This window comes from Homo sapiens, chromosome 2 (genome assembly GCF_000001405.40).
Source record: "Homo sapiens chromosome 2, GRCh38.p14 Primary Assembly".
Taxonomy (NCBI): domain Eukaryota; kingdom Metazoa; phylum Chordata; class Mammalia; order Primates; family Hominidae; genus Homo; species Homo sapiens.
This window is the reverse complement of record NC_000002.12, coordinates 128,863,957-128,886,820: the sequence shown is the minus strand read 5'-3', so window position 1 is coordinate 128,886,820 and position 22,864 is coordinate 128,863,957. Positions and strand designations below refer to the sequence as shown.

Here is a 22,864-nt window from a genome sequence, read left to right as displayed (position 1 = left end):
GCATAATTCTGTTTACGGAAAATGCTAAAAAATATATTAGAAACTAGTTAAGCTAATATCAACAATGTTGATAACTTTGAGTTACCAATGTATCAATTTTCAGATTGGCAAGGTTGCAACATACAAGATCAAGATACAAAAATCAGTTGTATGTCTATATTTTAGCAATAAACAACCAAAAAACTGAACTAAAAAATTCTTTTACAATAACATCAAAAATAATAAAATACACAATAAATTGAATAAATGTAAGACTTGCAAACTGAAAACTACGAACCATGTTTGAAAGAAAATAAAGATCTAAATAAGTAGAAAATATCCATGTTCATGGATTAGAACAATTAATATTATTAAATGGGATTACTTCCCAAACTGATATCCAGACTAAATGTAATCCCTATCAAAATCCTATCTGGCTCTCTTGCTAATATTGTCAGGCTGATACTAATAATCCATATGGAAATACATGGGACCTAGAATAGCCAACATATTGAATAAGACAAAGTTGGAAAATTCACACTTCTAAATTTCAAAACTTACTACAAAGCTATGGTAATCCAAACAGTGTGGTACTGGCATAAGGGTAGACACATTGGTCAATAGAATAGAATTGTGAATGCAGAAATCAATCCATATGTCTATGAACAAGTTGTTTTTGACAAGGGGATATTCAATGGGCAAAAAAATAGTCCTTTCAACAAATGATTCTGTGACAGCTGGATTTTACTTGTGAGGAAAAAAAGTTGGACCCATATCTTACACCATACACAAAAATTTACTCAGAATAGATGATGGTGCTTAAATGTATGAGCTGAAATTATAAAACTCTCTAAGAAGAAAACTTAGGAGTAAGTGTTCATCATATTGGTTTAACTTATTCTTTTGATATGACAGCAAAAACACAAGCAGCAAAAGAAAAATCTATAAATTGGAGTATATCAAAATTAAAACCTTTTATACTGCAAATAATACTACCAAGAAAGTGAAGGAAAAACACCACACAGAATGGGAAAATATATTTGTAATTCCTATACCTGATAAGAGAGTTATATCAAATTCCCCTTTAAATCATTTTTAAAAATATGAATAATCCAACTTTAAAAGTGGACAATGAAACTCAGTAGATATTTCTCTGAAGAATATGTGCAAATAGCCAGTAAGTACATGTAGAGGTGTCAACAGTTACCATATTACCCAGCAAACCCACACCTTAGTATATATTCATGAGAAATGAAAACATATGTTCACAAAATATCTTGTACACAAATATTCACAGCAGCATTATTCATAATGGCCCTAAAGTGAAAATAATCCATGTGTCCATCAAATTATGAGTGATAAACAAAATTATGTATATTGATACAATGAATTATTATTCATCAATAGAAAGGAAAGAAGTACTAATATATACCACAACAGAGACGAATCTTAAAAAAGTTATCCAAGGTGAAAGCAACTAGTCACAAAATACTACATATTGCACAATTTCATTTCTATGAAATGACTAAAACTGACAAGTTCATAGAGACTGAAAGTAAATTACTGACTGTCGAGGTTTGGAGGAGGAGGAAAGAGTAGTGAATGCTAATAAATATGAAGTGATGAAAATACTGTTAACTTAGATTGAAGTGATAGTTGCAGAATTCAGTGAATATAGTAAAAACTAATAAATTGTATATTTTAAAAGAGTCAATTTTATAGCACTTAAATTATATCTCAATAGTCTTTTTAAAATGGTAATAATCAGAAGGTTTTAAACAGCCTTATGTTAACAATTTTGACAATTTAGATGAAATGGACAAATTACTTAAAAAACACAGTTTACAAAACTGATACCAGAAGAAATTTAAAAATCTGAATTAAAAATATAATAAAAATGGTTGTTAAGAAATTGAATCACTATAATATTTCTATAAAAAGAACTCCAGGCCCAAATAGTTTCACTGGTGAATTCTATCAAATTAGGAAGCAATAATACCAATATTACACAATATTTTCTTTAGAAAAAAAGGACACCCATCTTTATGATTCCCTACATAAATAACCCTGTTATAAAAGTTTTACTAATATATATATTTTTAAAGAAAATTACAGATCAACATTATTCAAGAACAGAAATCATAAATAAAATATCAGCAAACTTAATTAAACAATTCAGTCAATCACAGCTCACCACAGCCTCGACCTCCTGGACTCAAGCATCAAGCAGTCCTCCCACCTCAGCCTCCCAAGTAGCTGTGACTACAGGCATGCACCACAAAGCCCAGCTAATTTTTGTATTTTTTGTAGAGACAGGGTTTCATTATGTTGCCCAGGGTGGTCTTGACCTCCTGGGCTCAAGCAATCTTCCTGCCTTGGCCTCCCAAAGTGCTAGGATTACAGGTATGAGACATTGAGCCCAGCTAACAGCATCTTAAAAGTATAATGCATCATGATCAAACAAGGTTTAAGGCAAGACTGCAACATTTAACATGTAAAAATCATCATATTACTAGAATAAAGAAGAAAATTCATGAAATCCTTTTATCACATTCAGGAAAATGCTTGATAAAATTCAATACCTATTCATCTTTAAATCTACAAAAAATTCCAGCAATTTAGAAACTTGCACAATCTATATACTTAAGATAGATGATAGATGGATGATAGATGATAGATAGATAGATAGATAGATAAATGATAGATGAGAGAGATAACAAAACAATGCATCACTACCACCACCCCTCCCCCGGCACACAGGGTACTCTTAAACCTTTTCTATGCTCTGGAGTAGCAGTGTCTCTTAAACTTAGTGTGCATTCCCATCTGGAAGGTGCGGTGGGTCCCATCTCTGGAGTTCCTGATTCAATAGGAGATCCAGGGTGGGGTTTGAGAATCGACATTTTTGCTTCTCTAGGATCACACGCTGAGAAAAACTGTCATATAATATAAATATCACTGGAATCATATGTAATTTAAAGGTGAGGTGAACAACTGTAAAAACATTTTGACCCAGTCTCTACTTAATGGTATCCTGCTGAGAGGTGAAGCCAGATGAGCTTCAGGGTCGGGTGAGGACTTGGAGAACTTTTCTGTCTAGCTAAAGGATTGTAAACACACAAATCAGCACTCTGTAAAAATGTACCAATCAGCACTCTGTGTCTAGCTAAAGGATTGTAAATGCACCAATCAGCACTCTGTAAAAATGCACCAATCAGTACTCTGTGTCTAGCTAAAGGACTGTAAATGCACCAATCAGCATTCTGTAAAATGGACCAATTAGCACTCTGTAAACTGGACTAATCAGCAGGACTTGAGCAGGGCCAAATAAGGGAGCAAAAGCTGCTCACCCCAGCCAGCAGTGGCAACCGTGTGGCAGCTTTGTTCTTCTGCTCATCACAGTAAATCTTGCTGCTGCTCACTGTTTGGGTCCGCACTACCTTTATGAGCTGTAACACTCACTGAGAAGGTCTGCAGCTTCATTCCTGAAGTCAGCGAGACCACAAACCCACCTGGAGGAACTAACAACTCCAGACGCACCACCCTTAAGAGCTGTAACACTCACTGCGAAGGTCTGCAGCTTCACTCCTGAAGTCAGTGAGACCACGAACCCACCGGAAGGAAGAAACTCCGGACACATCTGAACATCTGAAGGAAGAAACTTCAGACACACCATCTACTTTTTTTTTTTTTTTTTGAGATGGAGTTTAGCTCTTGTTGCCCAGGCTAGAGGGCAGTGGTGCGATCTCGGCTCACTGCAACCTCCGCCTCCTGGGTTCAAGCAATTTTCCTACCTCATACTCCCAAGTAGCTGGGATTACAGGCATGTGCCACCACACCCGGCTGATTTTTTTTTTTAATTTTTAGTAGAGATGGGGTTTCTCCATGTTGGCCAGGCTGGTCTTGAACTCCTGACCTCAGGTGATCCACCCACCTCGGCCTCCCAAAGTGCTGGGATTACAGGCATGAGCCACTGCGCCTGGCTGGGCACACCATCTTTAAGAGCTGTAACACTCACTGCAAAGGTCCGCAGCTTCATTCTTGAAGTCAGCAAGACCAAGAACCCACCGGAAGGAATAAATTCCGGACACACTGCTAGTTGTCATTCCAAATTATTCATTGGTAACTGCCTTATTAAAAATTTCTGTTTATTTTTGAATCTTTGACACTCTACATTTTTCTAAGAGACAATCCATGTTCTCTTCTTTTTGCCCAGGCAAAAATAGTCTCATAATTTTGTTCTTCTCTGTTCATGGTTTGTCTTTTTTTCTTATTTCTAATTTCTTTTTGTTCTTTTTTTTTTTTGAGGTCTCTACAATTGGTTTATTTTTTTATTATTATTATACTTTTAAGTTCTAGGGTACATGTACACAACATGCAGGTTTGTTACATATGTATACATATATGTATACGTGGTGTGCTGCACCCATTAACTCGTCATTTACATTAGGTATATCTCCTAATGCTATCCCTCCCCCATCCCCCCACCCCAAGACAGGCCCTAGTGTGTGATGTTCCCCTTCTTGTGTCCAAGTGTTCTCATTGTTCAATTCCCACCTATGAGTAAGAACATGCGGTGTTTCGTTTTTTGTCCTTGCGATAGTTTGCTGAGAATAATGGTTTCCAGCTTCATCCATGTCCCTACAAAGGACATGAACTCATCCTTTTTTATGGCTGCATAGTATTCCATGGTGTATATGTGCCACATTTTCTGTATCCAGTCTATCGTTGATGGACATTTGGGTTGGTTCCAAGTCTTTGCTATTGTGAATAGTGCTGCAGTAAACATATGTGTGCATGTGTCTTTATAGCAGCATGATTTATAATCCTTTGGGTATATACCCAGTAATGGGATGGCTGGGTCAAATGGTATTTCTAATTCTAGATCCTTGAGGAATTGCCACACTGTCTTCCACAATGGTTGAACTAGTTTACAGTCCCACCAACAGTGTAAGAGTGTTCCTGTTTCTCCACATCCTCTCCAGCACCTGTTGTTTCCTGACTTTTTAATGATGACCATTCTAACTGGTGTGAGATGGTATCTCATTGTGGTTTTGATTTGCATTTCTCTGATGGCCAGTGATGATGAGCATTTTTTCATGTGTCTTTTGGCTGCATAAATGTCTTCTTTTGAGAAGTGTCTGTTCATATCCTTCCCCCACTTTTTGATGTTCTTAATTGATCTTGCGAGAGTCTTCTCATTTTTTAGTCCTTAAGAATAAACAAAACAAATTTTATTTGTTCTTTTTACTATTATTTTTTCTTTAAAGATTCCAGAAGTATTTACCATTATTTCTTAGTTTTTAGCTAATTTAGGTTTTCTAAGACAATTTTCTCTCTTTACTTGTTCCTGGCTCCTTTATCATCAGTCCTTCTCTTTCATAAAGGAGACCAATAAAGCATTAAGTTTGCATCTGAGTGTAACATCACCTATGGCTCCAGGCATGCACTCTTTTCATTTCTTGATTTCTAGGTATTTAGTAATTTCTGGTTTACCTCTCCTTTGAATCCTTGGCATCCAGAAACACCCTTCTTCTGGCCTGACAGAACGTTATGTAACCCGGATGGAGGATTCTTGCGTTGTGGTCTATTTTCTTCAGGGTTTCTTTAAGGTTCTTCCACCATCTTTTAGTCTCCAATGTTGCAGATGAGAAAAAAATAAATATATTTATATGTCCTGACCCCATTAATTTTCATTTGTTAATAAGCTGTTCTTTCTGTTGAAAGGCATGTATATTTCCTTTTATCCTTGGACCTCAGAAATTTACTAGGAGAAGTGTCCACGTTGTCTGAAACCCAGCCTTTTTAGTCAGTGAACAGTTTTTCTTCAGATCAGTGAAAATTTCCTCTATTATTTGTTTAACTATTACCTCTTCCCCATCTGTTCCTTCTTCCCCTTCTGGAGCTCTTGCTATCCATGTGCTAGATATCCTGGATCTGTCCTCTGGGTCCCTCTGTTTCTCCCTCATTCTTTCCTTTGAGATTGGAAACACTGCCTCTCCCTGATCTTCCAGGTCACTGACTTGGTTGTTCAGTGAGCATTTTCCTAGAAATGAGGAGGAAGCTACTCAGAGACCCAGACAGTCCTCTAGAGCCAGGAAGCTCTGACAGCCCTTCTAAAATATAAACACGCACAAAAACCACACACAAGCACACACCTACACACACAGACACATTCACACATGCAACACACCAAACTCACACTTGCACACACACCCATACACATATACCCCTCAGCCTTCTCTAAGATAACTAGGTGACTGAAGGCACAGTCTCACCCCAGGACTTGGCTGCTGGTCCCCACATTGTTCTCAGGGACAACATAGCCCTGACAATACTCTCCCACACAGACTCCAGCAGAGCCCCAACCCAGTGTACACCTTCTCAGCCTGGTTGGCTTAGACTAGAAGGCTCCCTCTGACTGCAGCTCAGCCATTTTTAGGCTTGTGTGGCCTCTGAAATCACAATCAGTTATGCAGCAAGCCTTGGTGATAGGGACAGGAGGCAGGGAAATTCTGAGCAGAAGAGGGTGGTTCCCAGTGAGGGTCCCGGCCTCAAGCCTGGAACATCAACCCAAAGTGAGAACATGCATTCCTGTTTTCCCACTCAAATGTTGCCTTTTTCAAAACCGCCTATGGCCCACCCCACCCCCCATCCTGTGCCTATAAAAACCCCAGCCTCCACTGGCAGAGAGAGGAGAGAGGAGAATAGGAGAAGCAGTGGGACATCAGAGACTACAGTTGGACATCAGAGAGAAGCAGCTTGATTTCACAGGGACGGCTTGACAGCATTGCTTCAGAGAGGAGTTCAGCTGGGGACAGCTGGACTCTGGGGAAAGATTATCTTCCTGCTCCATCCCCTTTCCAACTCCCCTTCCCACTGAGAATCACCTTCATAAGCAATAAAATCCTCCATATTCATCTCCCTTCAATTCGTTCATGCAACCTGATTTTTCCTAGATGCTGAGCAAGAGCTTGGGCGCCACGGGTATGGATGCTAAAGGCTGTCACATTGACCCTCTGCCTTCGTTGGTGGAGGGCAACTGCCTCATGCAAGAAGGCAGAGGGCCCATTAAACTGTTAACACTTAAGCTGTCAGCAGACAACAAAAGCTAAGAGTGCTCACTGTAACACTCCTTCTGGGGCTTCAGGGGTCACGGGTACTATTCCCAGATGCTGCTGTGGGCCCTGCACAGAATTTTGCTCCTGCCAGCACCCAAAAACACTCGCCCCAGCTCCTGCACCTGCTCACCTGCATGCTGCCTCCTGCGAGGGGTGGAACCCAGCAGGACTGAGCCAGTGGAGTCCACCCCTGCAGGCACCGAAGTGGCCAGCTAGTTCCAGTGCCCGTGCACTACAGTTTCCACCCGCAAAGGGGTCAGGGAAAACTTCCTGCTTCACTAGGTGGGCCTGCTGGATCATGCTCTGACCTCCACAGACCAGAATCAGGCAGCCAATCACCCAGCCCTCCTCCACTTCAGGAAGACACTCTGGAGATAGAGAGACTGAGAGACCAGGTCGGACAAAGGTCCCCCACAGAGACATTCCATTCCAAGCAGCCCTTTCAGCAGCTCAGAAAGGAGGGAGGAGTGGAGGGAGAATGCAAATTTCAGCAGTGAGGAGACCCCTGAAATAATGAGAAGGGTTTCCTAGCCTCTGTGCAATGTGCTCATGTTTTGTCCTGCTTACAGCCAGCTGACTTACAAAGCATTTATCCCATACCTAGTATGTGCTGGGGACTCAGCACACTTTATCTCACTTGGTCTTTTAATACCCCAGAAGTAATTACTTTTTTTTCTGAGAGAGAGAGATTCTTTTTGTTTATTTATTTGATTGGGAGGGATCCTATTATTTTTATTTTTTAAATATATCTAGCAAGTGATTACTGCCTCTAGTTTGCAGGTGTGTAACTCAAGGTGACCAGTCTACAAACACTGACTCAAGTTTCTTTCTCTAAATGGGGCTGTAAGTGGAACAGGATGTGAGAAAGCCAGGACATGCATGGGGTAGATGATCAGTAGCCCAGATTAGTGGACAAGCTGGGTAGGTGTTATGGTTCCTACATTTCCAAATGATTCTCTCCAACGCCCATGATTTCATTAGCATGTGGATTTGTACTTTCCAAACCCCTTCTGCTATATAAATCACTCTAGTAACAACTATCACTTCTTAGGCCTTCTGCAATTTCTCTGAGCCAAGGACATAAGCTGTTATTAGCTACATTTGTCCAGAGGAAGAACATGAAGCCAGAGAAGTAAGATTGTTTTCATGCAAAATCTCCTGGCTGGGGCAACATTGCCAAGGTAGGAACACAGGTCTCCTGACTGCTGGTCCCACACCTGCCTCTGTGGCCACATCTGCCCCTTCACCTCATTTGGTTTACAACCTTAAGCACGGGGCAGCAAGTAATGAGGCAATTCCAGGCTCCCGTCAGTCCACCTAATGTTCAAAATTAATGTTTTTCAAGTTTTCTGACATTTTCTCTTTCATTCTCAGATTAATGAACAAGTCTCGAGGATTTCTGGAAGATTCATCATTTTCCTACTACTGCCTGTCCTGAGGATGGGCAGCCACCCTGACTGAGCTCAGGTCACCAAGAATGTAATTTCCAGGTAAGACACCAAGAGATATGTCCAGCTTCAAAGGATTTCCAATGTAACTAGCAACACCTGCTAATCTTCCTACCTTCTTTGTTTTAAAAATAACACAAGCTGGCAGAGGTTTGTGTTAAAATTTGGCTACTTTGGTTTAATATTTCAGTTGTGACTCACTGGAAATGAGATAGAAAGACAGACAAGGACTTTCTACCAAGCCATTGTCCATCAAAATTGTCAGTGACATCAGTGTCTTTTTTATCATATGAATGCAATCACTAGGATGGGCCCTCCCAGTGTAATGGCACTGGACCTTTTCTCTCTCCCTTGTAGCAAAGACAAACATCAAATCATTACACGATCCACATTCATTGACAGCTCTATTAGCCTTGTTAATATCTTGTTGGAAATTATACTGTATAGACTCGTGCACGTGTGCACACACACACACACACACACACACATACAGTATGCCATAAACCAGCAGTCCCCGAGCTCTCTGTGCTGACTCCACCCATGTTATTTGTTCTGGAATTCAGGTTTCTGGATGAGAGCTGATGCAAACTGATGCATCTATAAGATGCATTCTCCTTATTGTCTGATACATCAAGATTGTTTATTAGTGAGAGATTAACAGAGAGAAAGGGAAGAAATGGACACATTTGGTAATTGAAATGAGAGATGCATAAAATATGAGTTATGGATTTGCCTGTTCTCACAGCTGCCTCAAGCCTCTGATCTGCACAGTGTCTCTGGTTTTTCCTTGAAGACATGTTCTGTTGATGCATGGTAAGGCTTTGAATTCAATTAAGTACTAACACTGGGAAGCAAATTGGCTTTTTAAAAAATGCAACAAATAATCTATACATGGCTTAATGTAAACCAATGAGTATCTTAATCATAGCAAAAGAATGTCTTCTTTTATGCAAACCAGAGCTAGCTCTATGACAGGTAATTTTTGAGCATCTTTATGTTTTTGTCTTTTTAATCGGGATGAGGAAGAAATCACTTAAGCAATGGCACAGTGCAATGGGAGCCCTTGTGGGAAATCACACCTATAATGAATGCATCAGGCTAACAGACCATCTGTGAAGTAATGCTGAGATTCAAATGGAATGGTTTCCTGCCACTCTGTACAAATGTGCTTGTGTTTTTTCTGCTTGGGGCCAACTACCTTACTGTTTCTTGCTTTTCTTTGGAGTAGCTAATGCGTATAATTGCAAACTCCTTAAACACAAGGCCATTTTTTAAATCACAGATGTTAAGTCTGTTTATATCCTATATTAAAGAAAACCATGTACCCAGTTCCCTGTCTTAATGAAGGTGCTAATGATGTTGACAGATCATGTTAACTGTCAGGAAGTGTGACTAATCACATTACAATTAAGTGGCCAATGTCTTTTCTTCCACTGCAGTCAAGGAGCTGGTATGGCCAGTTGGGACCCTAGGGGCTATGGCAAAATAATTCCTTCTTCTGGAGCATTTGAGGCCTGCAGAGACAAAGAGCATGGGTGATTGAGATCACATAGGAACTCGTCCTTTTAGTAACCAAAGAAATGAGTAAGAAAGGCCCCTGGTAAGCAGAAGGCTTCCCACCCTGAGTGAGGAGTGCCTGTTCTCTATGGCTACACACTCTTCCCCACCTTCCCCCATGGGCTGGGTTGTCCCACATGGCTGCTGTCTGAGAGGCTGTGGCTGCTGTGATGCTGGCGTCCTCCTGTGCTGTTCCTCCAGCCCCTTCTTTGGGTTATGGGCCTCTCCCCATGGTCATAGCAGTGGCCCAGTGACCCAGGTCTAAACACCACATTCTCTTGCGCACAGTGATAGCTCCAGGATAGATATATAATGCAGGCAGGACCAATCAGAGAAATATTTGTAATGGAATTGGAAAGATTGGGGAAAACAAATCTGGGAAAGCAGGCAGTTGTCCCCCCGCCCCACAATGGCTGGAAGAGTCCATCTGTAGAATGAAAAGAAAAGCAGCTCAGAGCCAAGAGACGGAAATGCAGGATGAGAAAAGCCAGAGGGCATTATCTTGGGTCCCTGGATTGAGTCAGGCCTGAAGTGAAGCCTCTCTGTGGGCTTCTCAGTAACAAGTCACTGTCTTCCCCCTTTGCTCATGCAAGTTGGGTTTCCTTCACTTACAACTGAAAACAGTCCTGACTAATCAATTTCTAGCTCCTGAATGTGGCAAGCTTGGAGGACCCCCGGATTCCTCTGTTTTAGACAACAGGCACCGTAGCCTGTTGACAGCATTTATGACATGCAACCCCCTAACTGACCCAAACGAATACAGAGCTCCCTTCCCCTGTGTCCACCTAAGTCTCCTCCACAACATGGAAAAAGGAATGCAAGTAAGAAAGCAGGGAGCAAAAAAGACGCAGCCACAAGCAGCAGAATTGGACGATAAGCCCATCCCCCACAGGCTCACTTTCATGGCAAGAGCAAAGTGATCATTCCCACTCTGGCATCATCATTTGACAAAGAAGAGTAGTTTCCAAGAGAAGGCCAGCTTCTGACCAAGGGCTGGAGAAGAGTAGGAAGGGGAGGCAAGGCGCTGAAGCCAGGAGCGTATGCAGGATCACAAGTCAAGTCCAGGACCAAGGAAGGATGTCTACGTAAGTCTCTAAAACCCAAAGCTTTAGGGGCAAAATCGAAGCCAAGAATTCAGAGATAGGGACTAAGCAATGAAGAGCACCCCAGGAATGAATGTGGTCAGCCTTGGCAATCAACCAAGCTACAGTGTCCTCTGCAGCTGGTGTTGAGTGCACTGGGGGAATGGTGCCTGGGAGGCTGGAAGTATAGGAGCAGGAAGGGAGAGGGACGGATGGAGACACCACAGGCTATTGGGGTCTTTTAACAACAAAACAGTAAGCAGTGCTCTTGATAGACTCAAATGAAACACAGAAGCCCCTCAAGAGCACAGATGTTAGCATCTGGAAGTGGTCCTGGGTGATTTAAGAAAGAGCACAATGTGGGTAAATTGCTGGTCCATATCTCAGTTTCCTCTGGGCTGCCTGAACCAGAGAGCAACGATCATTTCTCATGAGGGCAGACAAATTGTTTGGATGGCCGTCGACTCTGCAACATTAAAGGATTTTTCATGGAAAGATTGTGATTATACTGAGCATAAAGCTCATGGTGCCATGATGAAGCTGTGGCCCAGAAGACATGGCCTCAGCCAGCCAGATCCCTGTTCATCTGCAATCAACATTCAGAGAACTACAGAAGGTTGGGGGACTCCAGAGAGCAGAACCTCTATAACTTCAGCATCTCTGATGGCAGGGAAGGACTCTCCTGTGTTCTGCCTGGACTGTGGCCATGCCATGTGCATCTGCCCCTGCCTGTGTCCCTTGCAGAGGGGTTTTCATCAGGAAACTTGACCAGAAGGACCAGCATCCCAGCAGAGGGGGCACATGGCTGTCCTGTACCGCAAGAGAAGGAAGGATTGGAGATGGGTGCCTGTGGTCAAGCCAGGTGCCCACATGGGCTCATGCCACCGGCAGCTGAGTGAGGCCCCAAGGGTGAGCTCCACTGCACCAGAGAAGGAAGATGCCACAAAGCACGAAGCGCTACCCAAACAAACGAGCACAGGAGAGTCAGCATTCTCTGGGAAGCTTTCCCAACTATGGAGAAACTTTCAGAAAGTGCAAACTTGTACATTGTGGAGAAGGCAAAGGGAGTCAGGGGTTGGGGAGCTGGTGCGGGAGAGCTGGGTGGGGAAAGGAGACATGGGCAGCCCTGGGCTCAATCCCCGATCCTGCCAAAAGATAAAAGTACAGTCAGAGAGGTCAAATGACCAAAATTACATCTCAGACAAGGGCCAGATGGCTGTGGAACCAGAGTTCCTGGGCTCCCAGAGCAGGGTCTTCCCCAGCACCAGCTATTTTGTTGATGGGAAACAGGCCCCTGGGATGGAGACCGTGACAGAATCCCAGGTGAGGAGAGTGCAGATTTTACATTCACACCAGCAGGAGATGAAGGTTTCCTTTTCTCCACATCCTCATCGTCTCCTGTTAATTCTCTGTCCGTTTGATCACAGCCGTCAAAAGCGTGGAAGTGGCATCTCACTGTGCTTTTGATTTGCATCTCATTAACAATACGGAACATCTTCTTATGTGCTTCTTGACCATTTACATCTCTTCTTTGCAGAACTGTCTGTTCAGACCATTTCTCCTTCTTTAAAAATTAGACTGTCTTTTATTATTGAATTATAATAGTTCATTACATATTTTAGATACAAGTCCCGTATTAGACATATGATTTGAAATACTTTCTATCATTCTGTGGGTTGTCTTCTCTGTTTCTTAATGGTGTCCCCTGAGACAAAACTGTTGTTTGTTTTGATGATATCTAGTTTACCTGTTTTTCCTTTTGTTGCTTGTGCCTTTTTTGTTGTATCTAAGAAACTACGGCCTAACCCAAGGTTCTGACGATTTATGCCTATGTTTTCTTTTAAGGGTCTTACAGTTTAACTCTTACATGCAAGTCTGTGGCCATTTTGAGTTAATTTTTGTGTATGGTCTGCGGTGGAGGTCCTACTTTACTCTTCTATGGAATGAAATTCTTTGCATTTAGCCTGTTTGGATTTTACAGAGATTCTTGAGTTTGTAAGTTTATGTTTTTCACCAAATCTAGGAAGTTTTCAGCCATTATATAATATTTTTAGTACTGCATTATATATGTTAGAGATTCCAATGACACAAATTTTTGACCTGTTCATAATGTTCTAAAGGTCTCCAGGGATCTGTTTATTTTATTTTTGATTTCTTTACTCTCTTTTCTTCAGATTGGATCATTTCTATTCCTCTATTTTCAACATCACTGATTTTTCCCTCTGTCATCTCCACCCAGCTGAGTCAACTCGGTAATTTTTTTAAATTTCAGATCACACATATTGCAGTCCTAAAATGCACAATGGCTTCTGTTTTGTAATTTCTGTTTTTCTGAAGAAAAGTCCTATATTTCCACCTGTTTCCAAAATATTCACCTTTTCTTCATGGATCGCTGTTGTAATAGAGCCATTAAAGTCTCTCTAACCATCCCAACACCTGGATCATGTTGGAATGGGCCTCTGTTGATTATATTTTCCCCTGAGAATTGCTCTCTAGAGTTTTAACCCCCATGCTGTGCTACATCACTGTGGAGAGAAAGAGAGAGAAAAATCTATGCGGGTACCCCACACACTCTTTGTGAAACCCTCCTTTCCTGATCCCACTTTCCTCTTGGGGTCTTGGGTGCTCAACTCTATGGTAGCACATTATGTAGCTGGAACCGACCTTCGGGCAGGGCCAGGAGGGGGAAAAAAACCGGGGAAAAATCTTATGAGGATTCTCTCCACACTTCCTGTGTCATATGGGTGAGGGGATTTTTTCCTGTCCTCCGTCCTGAGAGACAGATTCTCTTGGAGGTTTTGCTGATTGTGCCTGCTCTGTGGTCTACAGCTTCCTGTTTTGACTTGTCCTTGGTCCAAAACTGTGTGAAAAAAAAAAAAAAAAAGGAAAAAAGCCTGGGTCACCATACTGGCTATTCTGCATGCTGGTGTTTAGACCCTGCTCCCAGTCTGTCTGCTATTCTTCATTTTTCAGAGTCCTCGGCCTTTTATATTTTGTCCAGCATGTTTTTTTGTGGCCACTGTAAAAAATAAGCTGCAGTAGGTTTACTTCATTTTGTCCAGAAACGGATGACTTTGAGGCACTTTCAATAATATGTAATCTTCTTAATTCCTTGTTTGCTTATTGACTAGCCCCATTCCCACTTGTTGGAGCACTTGCCTACATACAAGGCTTTTGTTCTTAATTCACTGCTGAATTCCTAGCGTTCAGGAAAATATCTGCTACATAGTAAGCCCTCACTAAATATTTATTAATAAATGAATCTTCGTGCACAGAACTTTCTTCTGCACTTTTAGATTTTACTTATGATAATTTTCCTAGAAGTTAAATTATTGACCAAAAGGTATAATTATCTTTTAGGTCGTATTCATGTTGTCAAATTCTTTTCTAACAAGTGAGCATGCCTGTCTCATCACAATAGAATGGAGGAGTTGTGGGTTTTTTTATTTTATTTTAACATTTTCTAATTTATAGGTGAGGATGTTATCTCATTGCTATTTTTATCTGTACCTAATACTTTTAACTCCAACATCCCTGGATCTTCTAAAGAAATTTTTATTGCAAAGACTAAGCTATTCTGCCTGGGTGCTCTGTGCCCCCTGCCTTTGAAACACCCCCTAAAGGGGGATCTCCTTCCTGTAGATCATCTGACTAGAGAAAGGAGGAGGGTGTAAAGCTAACCTGCATAACTCTTTGCAAAAATTACCCCTAGATTCCACTGCCTTCTCAATTCCTCCCATCCAAAAAGTTGCTGTCAAATCTCTTCTGAAATAATTAGAGTGATATTTTTCAACTAGAAAAATCTCATGTGCCTCCAGCTTCTATTAATGAGGCTAGGTCATTTGAAACAACTTTCTTGTTAACGAAAAAAAAATCAAAACACCAGATCAATATGGGGAAGAAAAATCACATGAAAAGACTTTAAAATTTGAAGATGTGGAAACTCCCAGATCATTTTTTTAAATTAGAGCCTTTAACCAAGGAAGTAAGCCAACCACTGGAGTTCCCAAGTCCCATGGGAATTTGCCAATACCAAACACTCAGGCTCAGTTCACCCTCAGGACACCCCCATCCCAAAGTGGAAAATCCTAGAGATGACATTTTAAGTTTACAAGCTTTATCTCATGGTGACTGCAAAACAAATCTCCCCCCAACAGCCTGCTCCCCGAACCCCGGGGAAGTGTTGAGAAACTGTCTTGGGAGGAGCAGAGCAGAAGAAGTAAAAGAACGTGAAAGAAGAAGTCCTGAGAAGTTCTGGCCTCACACATTTTCACCTGGAAAAGTGTGGCCCGAGGTTGCTGAGGAGCCACAGCTGCACATTTGGTCTGAAGTGGTCCCCACTGTGGTGCCCACAAGATTTGAAAGCAGCGAACACAATCCTTCATTAAATGAGAGGCACCTGTAGTAGTCCTAACTGCACCCTCTGCCTCCGTCTGACCTGTGGGGGCTCCACATTGGCCCAACCCAACCAGAAGTCCAACAAGGGGAGTCTGTCTGTTTAGTCCATTTAGGTGAGCCTCTTGGAAATAGAAGATGCTCAGCACATGCAGAATGTGAAAGAAACTCAGGAAACTCACCCAAGGAATTGCTGTATTCTGGTCCAAGTTACCACATAGGCGATGAGCACATTTTAAGGATTTCAGGAATTCCACCAACAAAACCATTGGTCTATAAATGTGTGTGGGGAATCCAGCAGAGTAACCTAGCATTGCCAGTACATGTTCATTTTCTTCATGCTACCATGTTTTAAAATGCATCTGTCATTGGGATAAATTGCACATTAAGTCACTAGCAACATGCAGAGGGAAGGAAAGCCATGACTCTTCTCCTCATCCTCTCCTTACTCTTCAAAATGAAGTAAACACTAGTCTAATGGGGTTATGTTCCTTTGGGACCATGTTTACCAGTAAATACAATCACTGTGGTTTTTGTTTTTGTTTGTTTGTTTGCTTTTGAGACAGAGTCTTGCTCTGTCACCCAGGCTGGAGTGCAGTGGAGAGATCTCAGCTCACTGCAACCTCTGCCTCCCAGGTTCAAGCAATTCTTGAACTTGGGAGGCTGCCCCAGCCTCCCAAGTAGCTGGGATTAAAGGCACCCGCCTCCACATCCAGCTAATTTTTTGTAGTTTTAGTAGAGACGGGGTTTCATCATGTTGGCCAGGTTGGTCTTGAACTCCTGACCTCAGGTGATCCACCCGCCTTGGCCTCCCAAAGTGCAGGGATTACAGGTGTGAGCCACCGCACCTGGCCCAATCACTGTTTTAAAAGGCATGCTGTGGCGGGGCACGGTGGCTCATACCTGTAACCCTAGCACTTTGGGAAGCAAAGGTTGGGGAATCACTTGAGGGCAATGTAGTGAAACCCCATCTCTACAAACAAATAAAAAATAAAACGTAATAAATAAATAAAGGCATGCTCTGTTGTGGCCTTCTTTACCATCCCTGCCACCCATGACATGAGACTGAACAGAGGCCGAAGGTGCCCCATTGGCAGGTACAATTAACTCACTCTCACTTTACTTCATTCTCAAGCATTAAGGCTAATATAAGGTGTTTTAATGACTTCTAGCTCCAAGGGTTGACTGGTTGGTAAAGTGGACATTGTGGTTGGTAGAAGCTAGACTAAGCTATGTGCTTCATTGTAGCTATCATGCATAATGAAGAGTTAGAGGCACTCAGCGGGTCAGGAAAGCACTATAATGTTCTATGTATATATCTAAAATTTAATGAAGACAAAGGGTATTAGAAGACATTCCAGGGAGCCTTGGTCAAATACTATTAATAGTTACACAATTACATCCCCATTCACATAAGAATTAATCAACTCTGATACTTAAATTTTGTTTCAATGATTTTTCTATGTTCTAACGCCTACCAGGAATAACCACTATTTAGTTGCTATTTCATTGTATTGCAAAGGCTTGTCTTCACCACTGGATAGAAGTCAAGATCAAGAACATTGTCTTATACTCTGTATCCCCAAACTTGTCAATATCTGATAAGGAGTAGATGCTCATCTTTCATTAATACTCTCATTCAGCAAAATTGTATTGAGCACCTACTTGTGATAGGCCCTGTAGTGGACACTGTACCAGCAATGAACAAAGTGTCAAAAAATCACTGCTCCTGTGAAAACTATATTGTAATGGGAAGACATCTAATATACATGATATATGAATGACGTATATAGTATGTCAGAATTGAAACCAAGGGGAAAAACAGAACAGACAAGGACTATAGCGTGTGCCAGAGCCAGCTCACACTGGCTTGCAAAAGCCAATTACTTTACTTTCAGGAATTTTGCAAGGCAGTTGTGTCATCACTTTGGTAGCTTAAAATTGGCCACAGTGAAAGCATTTACATTGTGGAAATCAGTAAGCACCAAAAATTGGTGTGCCCATCCCCTAGCCACAAACCAGATATTGAACATTCACCAGAACATCTGTATGCCATGGGCTACTGTGAGTCTGTTGAAGAGAGAGCTCCCGTTGTACATAGGGTGGCTAAACAAGGCATTCCTGACCCAGAGGAGAGTTCATGTTGCGTTTTGGGTCTGAAGGTAGAGCAGCCTCACTCTTCCTTGGGGGAAGGCTGAAACAGAGCAAGGGAGCTGGGCCACATGGCTACCAGAAGGAGGAGAATTCCAGGCAGGGGAGCCAGCAAGTGCCAATGCTGTGACGCTATGTGGAGTGGAAAAAGGACAGCAGTGGGAAGTGAGGCCCAGGAGGTCACCAGGGCCAGATCTCATTGCCTTGCAGGGCACCACACAGACTGACTTGTATTTGAAGTGAGTCACAGTCATCAGAGGGCTGAGCAGGGTGGGGACATGATTTGATTTACATTTCAACACCTCATTCTGGCAGGGGTGTTGAGAATAGACCTAAGTGGACAGGGATGGAAGATGTGGGCCGAGGAGGAAGTTACCGCAGTAACCCAGAGCCCAGGTGAAGGTAGAAGTGGGTGGAGCAGCATGGTCTAAATAGCAGTGGTGAGAAATAGGTGGTTCTTCCATATATTTTTATAGTAGAACCTACAGGACTCGTTGAGAAATCAGATAACTGCTGATTTCCTTAAGCAACTGAAAGGACTGAATTGAATTGGAGTGTGAGGTAGATCAGCAGCTCAGGGTCAGGCACATTACATTCTGCAGATCTGTTAGCTGCCCTGTTAGCACATGCCTTCCGTCTGAGACTTACCTTGGCCGCACACACACAGTCCTTCTCAAGTTCTCCATGAGACTCTTACCTGGAACAGTGGCCTACACACTCTAAACACTTCTGTGTTTGCAGCAACAGAGTGACAAGTCTCCTTCGTCACGGCTCCTGGGCAGCCCTGGTCAGCTTTCCATTTCTGTCTCTGAAGCTTTACTCTGCCTTGAGTGGCCCAGCCCTGCTGGACTTGGAGCCATAGTTTGTTGGGCTGATTTTGTGAAAACCGTGATTCAACTGCCAAGTTTTAATTTGGTCTGGGGCCTGGGAAAGTACGCAAGGATGAACACATGGGCATGGGGTTCTGAGCAAGGATTTGCAGTGACTCTCAGGTCCTGGGATGACTGCCCAGAGTTGGGTGACAACTTGCCCAGGAGCCTCACTCCTCAAGAAAGCAGAAGTCAAAGGATTCCAAATGCAAAAGAGGAGCAGGGGCCAGAAGGTTCTTGTCCACATTGAACAAATATGAGAAGACAAATAAACCTCTTATGGAGAGGCAAGCTGTGAGGCCATGTTCACACGTGCGGCTATGTGTCTTCAGCAGCCATCTCTCTTACACCGGCTTCTAACCTTGGAAGGAAAGGGAGAGATTAACATGCAGCTGTAGTCTGGATTTTATACCTTCATGCTGTGTCTCAATTAATCAAAGATTTGCCATAAAACTTAACCGGCAGTCCTCCACACCATGTCATGTCATAAAATATGAGCTGATTAATCCTCTTCTAATTTGTATGATAATTAAAACCCTAACTTCTAATTCCGTTCATTGTCTTCCCACAAGGAGTCTGCTCCAGCTTTCCCAATGCACCCAGCGACTGTCCTCTGCCCACGGGGTGGCTTTGTTGCCTTTACAGTACCGCGTTCCCCTGTCATTCATCAAGGCCTGAAGATAAATATGTGCTTATCGCTCCAGCCCGTCCTGACACAAGCCTGCAAGGAGCCGAGCCTGTGCTCATAAATCAAACACTGAAAGTCACTGGGTATTTTATCAGGATGTTGGTCCAGCTCTGTGAATGTCCCTTCCTCTTAATGAACAATTAACTTGCTAAATGCAATGAGGCCCAAATACATCTGAGCCACTCAGGCCACGGTTGAGCATGTACTAGATGAACCAGGAGGTGGCTTCCACATCTGCATGCACTGAGGAAGTTCCAGTGCAATCTGCTGTGTCGATGATGAGCTTCTGAAGCACAAAGAAGTCTGTCCAGACCTACCTCAGAGCACAGGAAGAGAAAGAGGAAAGGAATTTACAGGAGCCAAGTTCTCTGCAAAACAATATAGTGCAGGGCTGATTTTTACTGCAGAATTGCTTAGTAAATTCGTAAATTATATATTCTGTGAGGGGGATTTTATTATAACTCTTTTGCATTTGAGGAAACTGAGGCAAAGTGAGATTAGGTGAAACACTGAGGTCACATAAATCATAAGTGACAAGATTTGAATTCAATTCTATATGACATCGAAGGTCTTAAACTAGTGCACTTTCCATCTATGTATAAAATAATTCCTTAATTTATAGAGCAACTAGTGTGCACCAGGTACAATTCAGAAGCCATATATATATATATTACATATTACATATATATAGTATTTCTGATATATATATAAAACATATATACTAGATATAAGAAATATACATACCAATATATACTAGTATACATATTTATCCTAATCACAATTTTGTGGATTAAATAAATATATATACTAATATATATTAGTAATAATATATATACTAGTGTATGTATTTCGTATGTATAGTAGCAGGAGCTATATATGTATAGTATTTCTAATATATATAGTATTTCTTTTATATAATATATACATATATACACACACACACATACAATTATCAGACCTTGTCACTCCATAGCCAAGCCATCATTAAACCATCAACTTTAGCTTCTAAATAGACTTTATTTTAAATCTAGGACTTTAAGAATGGCCAATTCTACAGGATGTTAAGATTAAATGAAGTTAAGAAGTTTTCCTAGTACAGATTTGTTAGAATCTTTGCTCTGCCATGGGCGCTATGAAGCCTCATTGTGAAACACCACACAATTTATTAAAGTCTGCGGCCTCAGAACCCTTTATCTGGCTCACTAGGCACTAGTGTTCCGGAGGATACATGCTGGGAGGTGTTTCTCCAGCTTATTCCATCAACTCCCTCCCAATGTCCCCACTACAGCTAAGACCATGCCTTCATTTTCCTAGGTTGCCAATGTGGCCAGCTAAGTGACCTCCCTTCCACGGGGAAACCACATCCATTATTCCCTGGAGAGACACTACAGATTTCCTGGGTTCAATGATGCTTATTCCCACCCAAGCTCTGACATTCAACAACTGTGAGACTTTTAGCAAGTTACTTAACCTCACTATGCTTGACTTCCTCATATTGAGTGTTTTCTATACATCAAGTGATGAGCGAAGTGCTCTATTTTTATCTCATTTAATTTTCTCAACAATTTGTGGAAATTGTTACTTATCATAATCACCATTTTGTAGATTAAAAAACCCAGAGGTAAAATAATGTGCCTAGCATCGTACAGAAGGTGGGCGTTAGAGCCAGCTAATGCTTGCCCTGCAGAGTTATCATGGAGATCAATGACTTGCTAATATGAATCTCTAAGCTCACTTATTCATACACAGAAAACACATAACACATTCATGTTAACTAAGAATGTTATTAGGGATACCATGAATGAATTTCACTTCTGCTTAAGGAGTAGCAGGGATCTGATTTATCTTCCCACTTCCCACCTGCAACAAGAAACAAACAAAATATAGTAAACATTGCTTTTCAAAACACTGAGTATCAGACAATGAAGGACAGTCATCTCTCAGAGATAGAAACAAACTAGGTGAGCCCTATGAATCCCCAACTGACGGCTTGAAAGAATCTCCAGGCGAGGACAGAGAGAGGAAACCCAGGCACACCTTGCTGGTCTCCCTAAGTTGACAAGATAGAGCTGAGAGTCCAGGGAGATGAAAGCAGTTGGTTTGCAGTATACAAAAGAGTGGAGCATCCATAGGCAGAAGCTTAGAGATCTGCAGAGGCTCCTCTTCACTATTCACTCAACAGAGTAATACTCAGCACTTCGTGTATAGAAACTACACCAGGGTGTGGGGGAACATCTGAAAGTACAATAGAAGAGAATCTAGGGCTCACATGCATCTGGTAATAGTATCTATTCCTGCTGGCTCCAGTGAGTGGAAAACTCATAATTTATGGCTCATTGGGTAGTCTACTTGAGAAAGGCTTGCCTTAGTAGTAAGAAATAATAAGCAACAGATGGAGCATAGCCCCTGACCCACCTAACAAGTTGTAGAATTAAGTCCTGAAACAGGCAAACTGTTTCTAAGTAATTGCTTCCCAGAATAAAGTTCAATAATATTTTTAAAAATAATCATAGCGGAGGAGGAGCCAAGATGGCCGAATAGGAACAGCTCCGGTCTACAGCTCCCAGCGTGAGCGACGCAGAAGATGGGTGATTTCTGCATTTCCATCTGAGGTACCGGGTTCATCTCAGTAGGGAGTGCCAGACAGTGGGCGCAGGCCAGTGGGTGCGCGCACCGGGCGCGAGCCGAAGCAGGGCGAGGCATTGCCTCACCTGGGAAGCGCAAGGGGTCAGGGAGTTCCCTTTCCGAGTCAAAGAAAGGGGTGACGGACGCACCTGGAAAATCGGGTCACTCCCACCCGAATATTGCGCTTTTCAGACCGGCTTAAAAAACGGCGCAGCACGAGACTATATCCCACACCTGGCTCGGAGGGTCCTACGCCCACGGAATCTCGCTGATTGCTAGCACAGCAGTCTGAGATCAAACTGCAAGGCGGCAGCGAGGCTGGGGGAGGGGCGCCCGCCATTGCCCAGGCTTGCTTAGGTAAACAAAGCAGCCGGGAAGCTCGAACTGGGTGGAGCCCACCACAGCTCAAGGAGGCCTGCCTGCCTCTGTAGGCTCCACCTCTGGGGGCAGGGCACAGACAAACAAAAAGACAGCAGTAACCTCTGCAGACTTAAATGACCCTGTCTGACAGCTTTGAAGAGAGCAGTGGTTCTCCCAGCACGCAGCTGGAGATCTGAGAACGGGCAGACTGCCTCCTCAAGTGGGTCCCTGACCCCTGACCCCCGAGCAGCCTAACTGGGAGGCACCCCCCAGCAGGGGCACACTGACACCTGACACGGCAGGGTATTCCAACAGACCTGCAGCTGAGGGTGCTGTCTGTTAGAAGGAAAACTAACAAACAGAAAGGACATCCACACCAAAAACCCATCTGTACATCACCATCATCAAAGACCAAAAGTAGATAAAACCACAAAGATGGGGAAAAAACAGAACAGAAAAACTGGAAACTCTAAAACGCAGAGCGCCTCTCCTCCTCCAAAGGAACGCAGTTCCTCACCAGCAACGGAACAAAGCTGGATGGAGAATGACTTTGACGAGCTGAGAGAAGAAGGCTTCAGACGATCAAATT

The 22,864-nt window shown here is 42.5% G+C and overlaps 1 long non-coding RNA gene across 1 annotated transcript, besides 1 other annotated feature; it reads right to left on the bottom strand.

Moving 5' to 3' along the window:
• Positions 1–18,093: 18,093 nt before the first annotated feature.
• Positions 18,094–22,221, bottom strand: LOC101927881 (uncharacterized). The gene is made up of 3 exons (NR_110278.1): positions 22,065–22,221; positions 21,087–21,150; positions 18,094–18,963 (listed from the first exon to the last, which is right to left on the bottom strand). It is a non-coding gene; the product is annotated as an uncharacterized LOC101927881 (long non-coding RNA).
• Positions 22,041–22,631: an enhancer, noted in NCBI's record as "NANOG-H3K27ac-H3K4me1 hESC enhancer chr2:129621764-129622354 (GRCh37/hg19 assembly coordinates)". NCBI's record gives its function as "activates a minimal SCP1, AML or CMV promoter by ChIP-STARR-seq in primed H9 embryonic stem cells {active_cell/tissue: H9 hESC(primed)}" and the evidence as "EXISTENCE:reporter gene assay evidence [ECO:0000049][PMID:30033119]".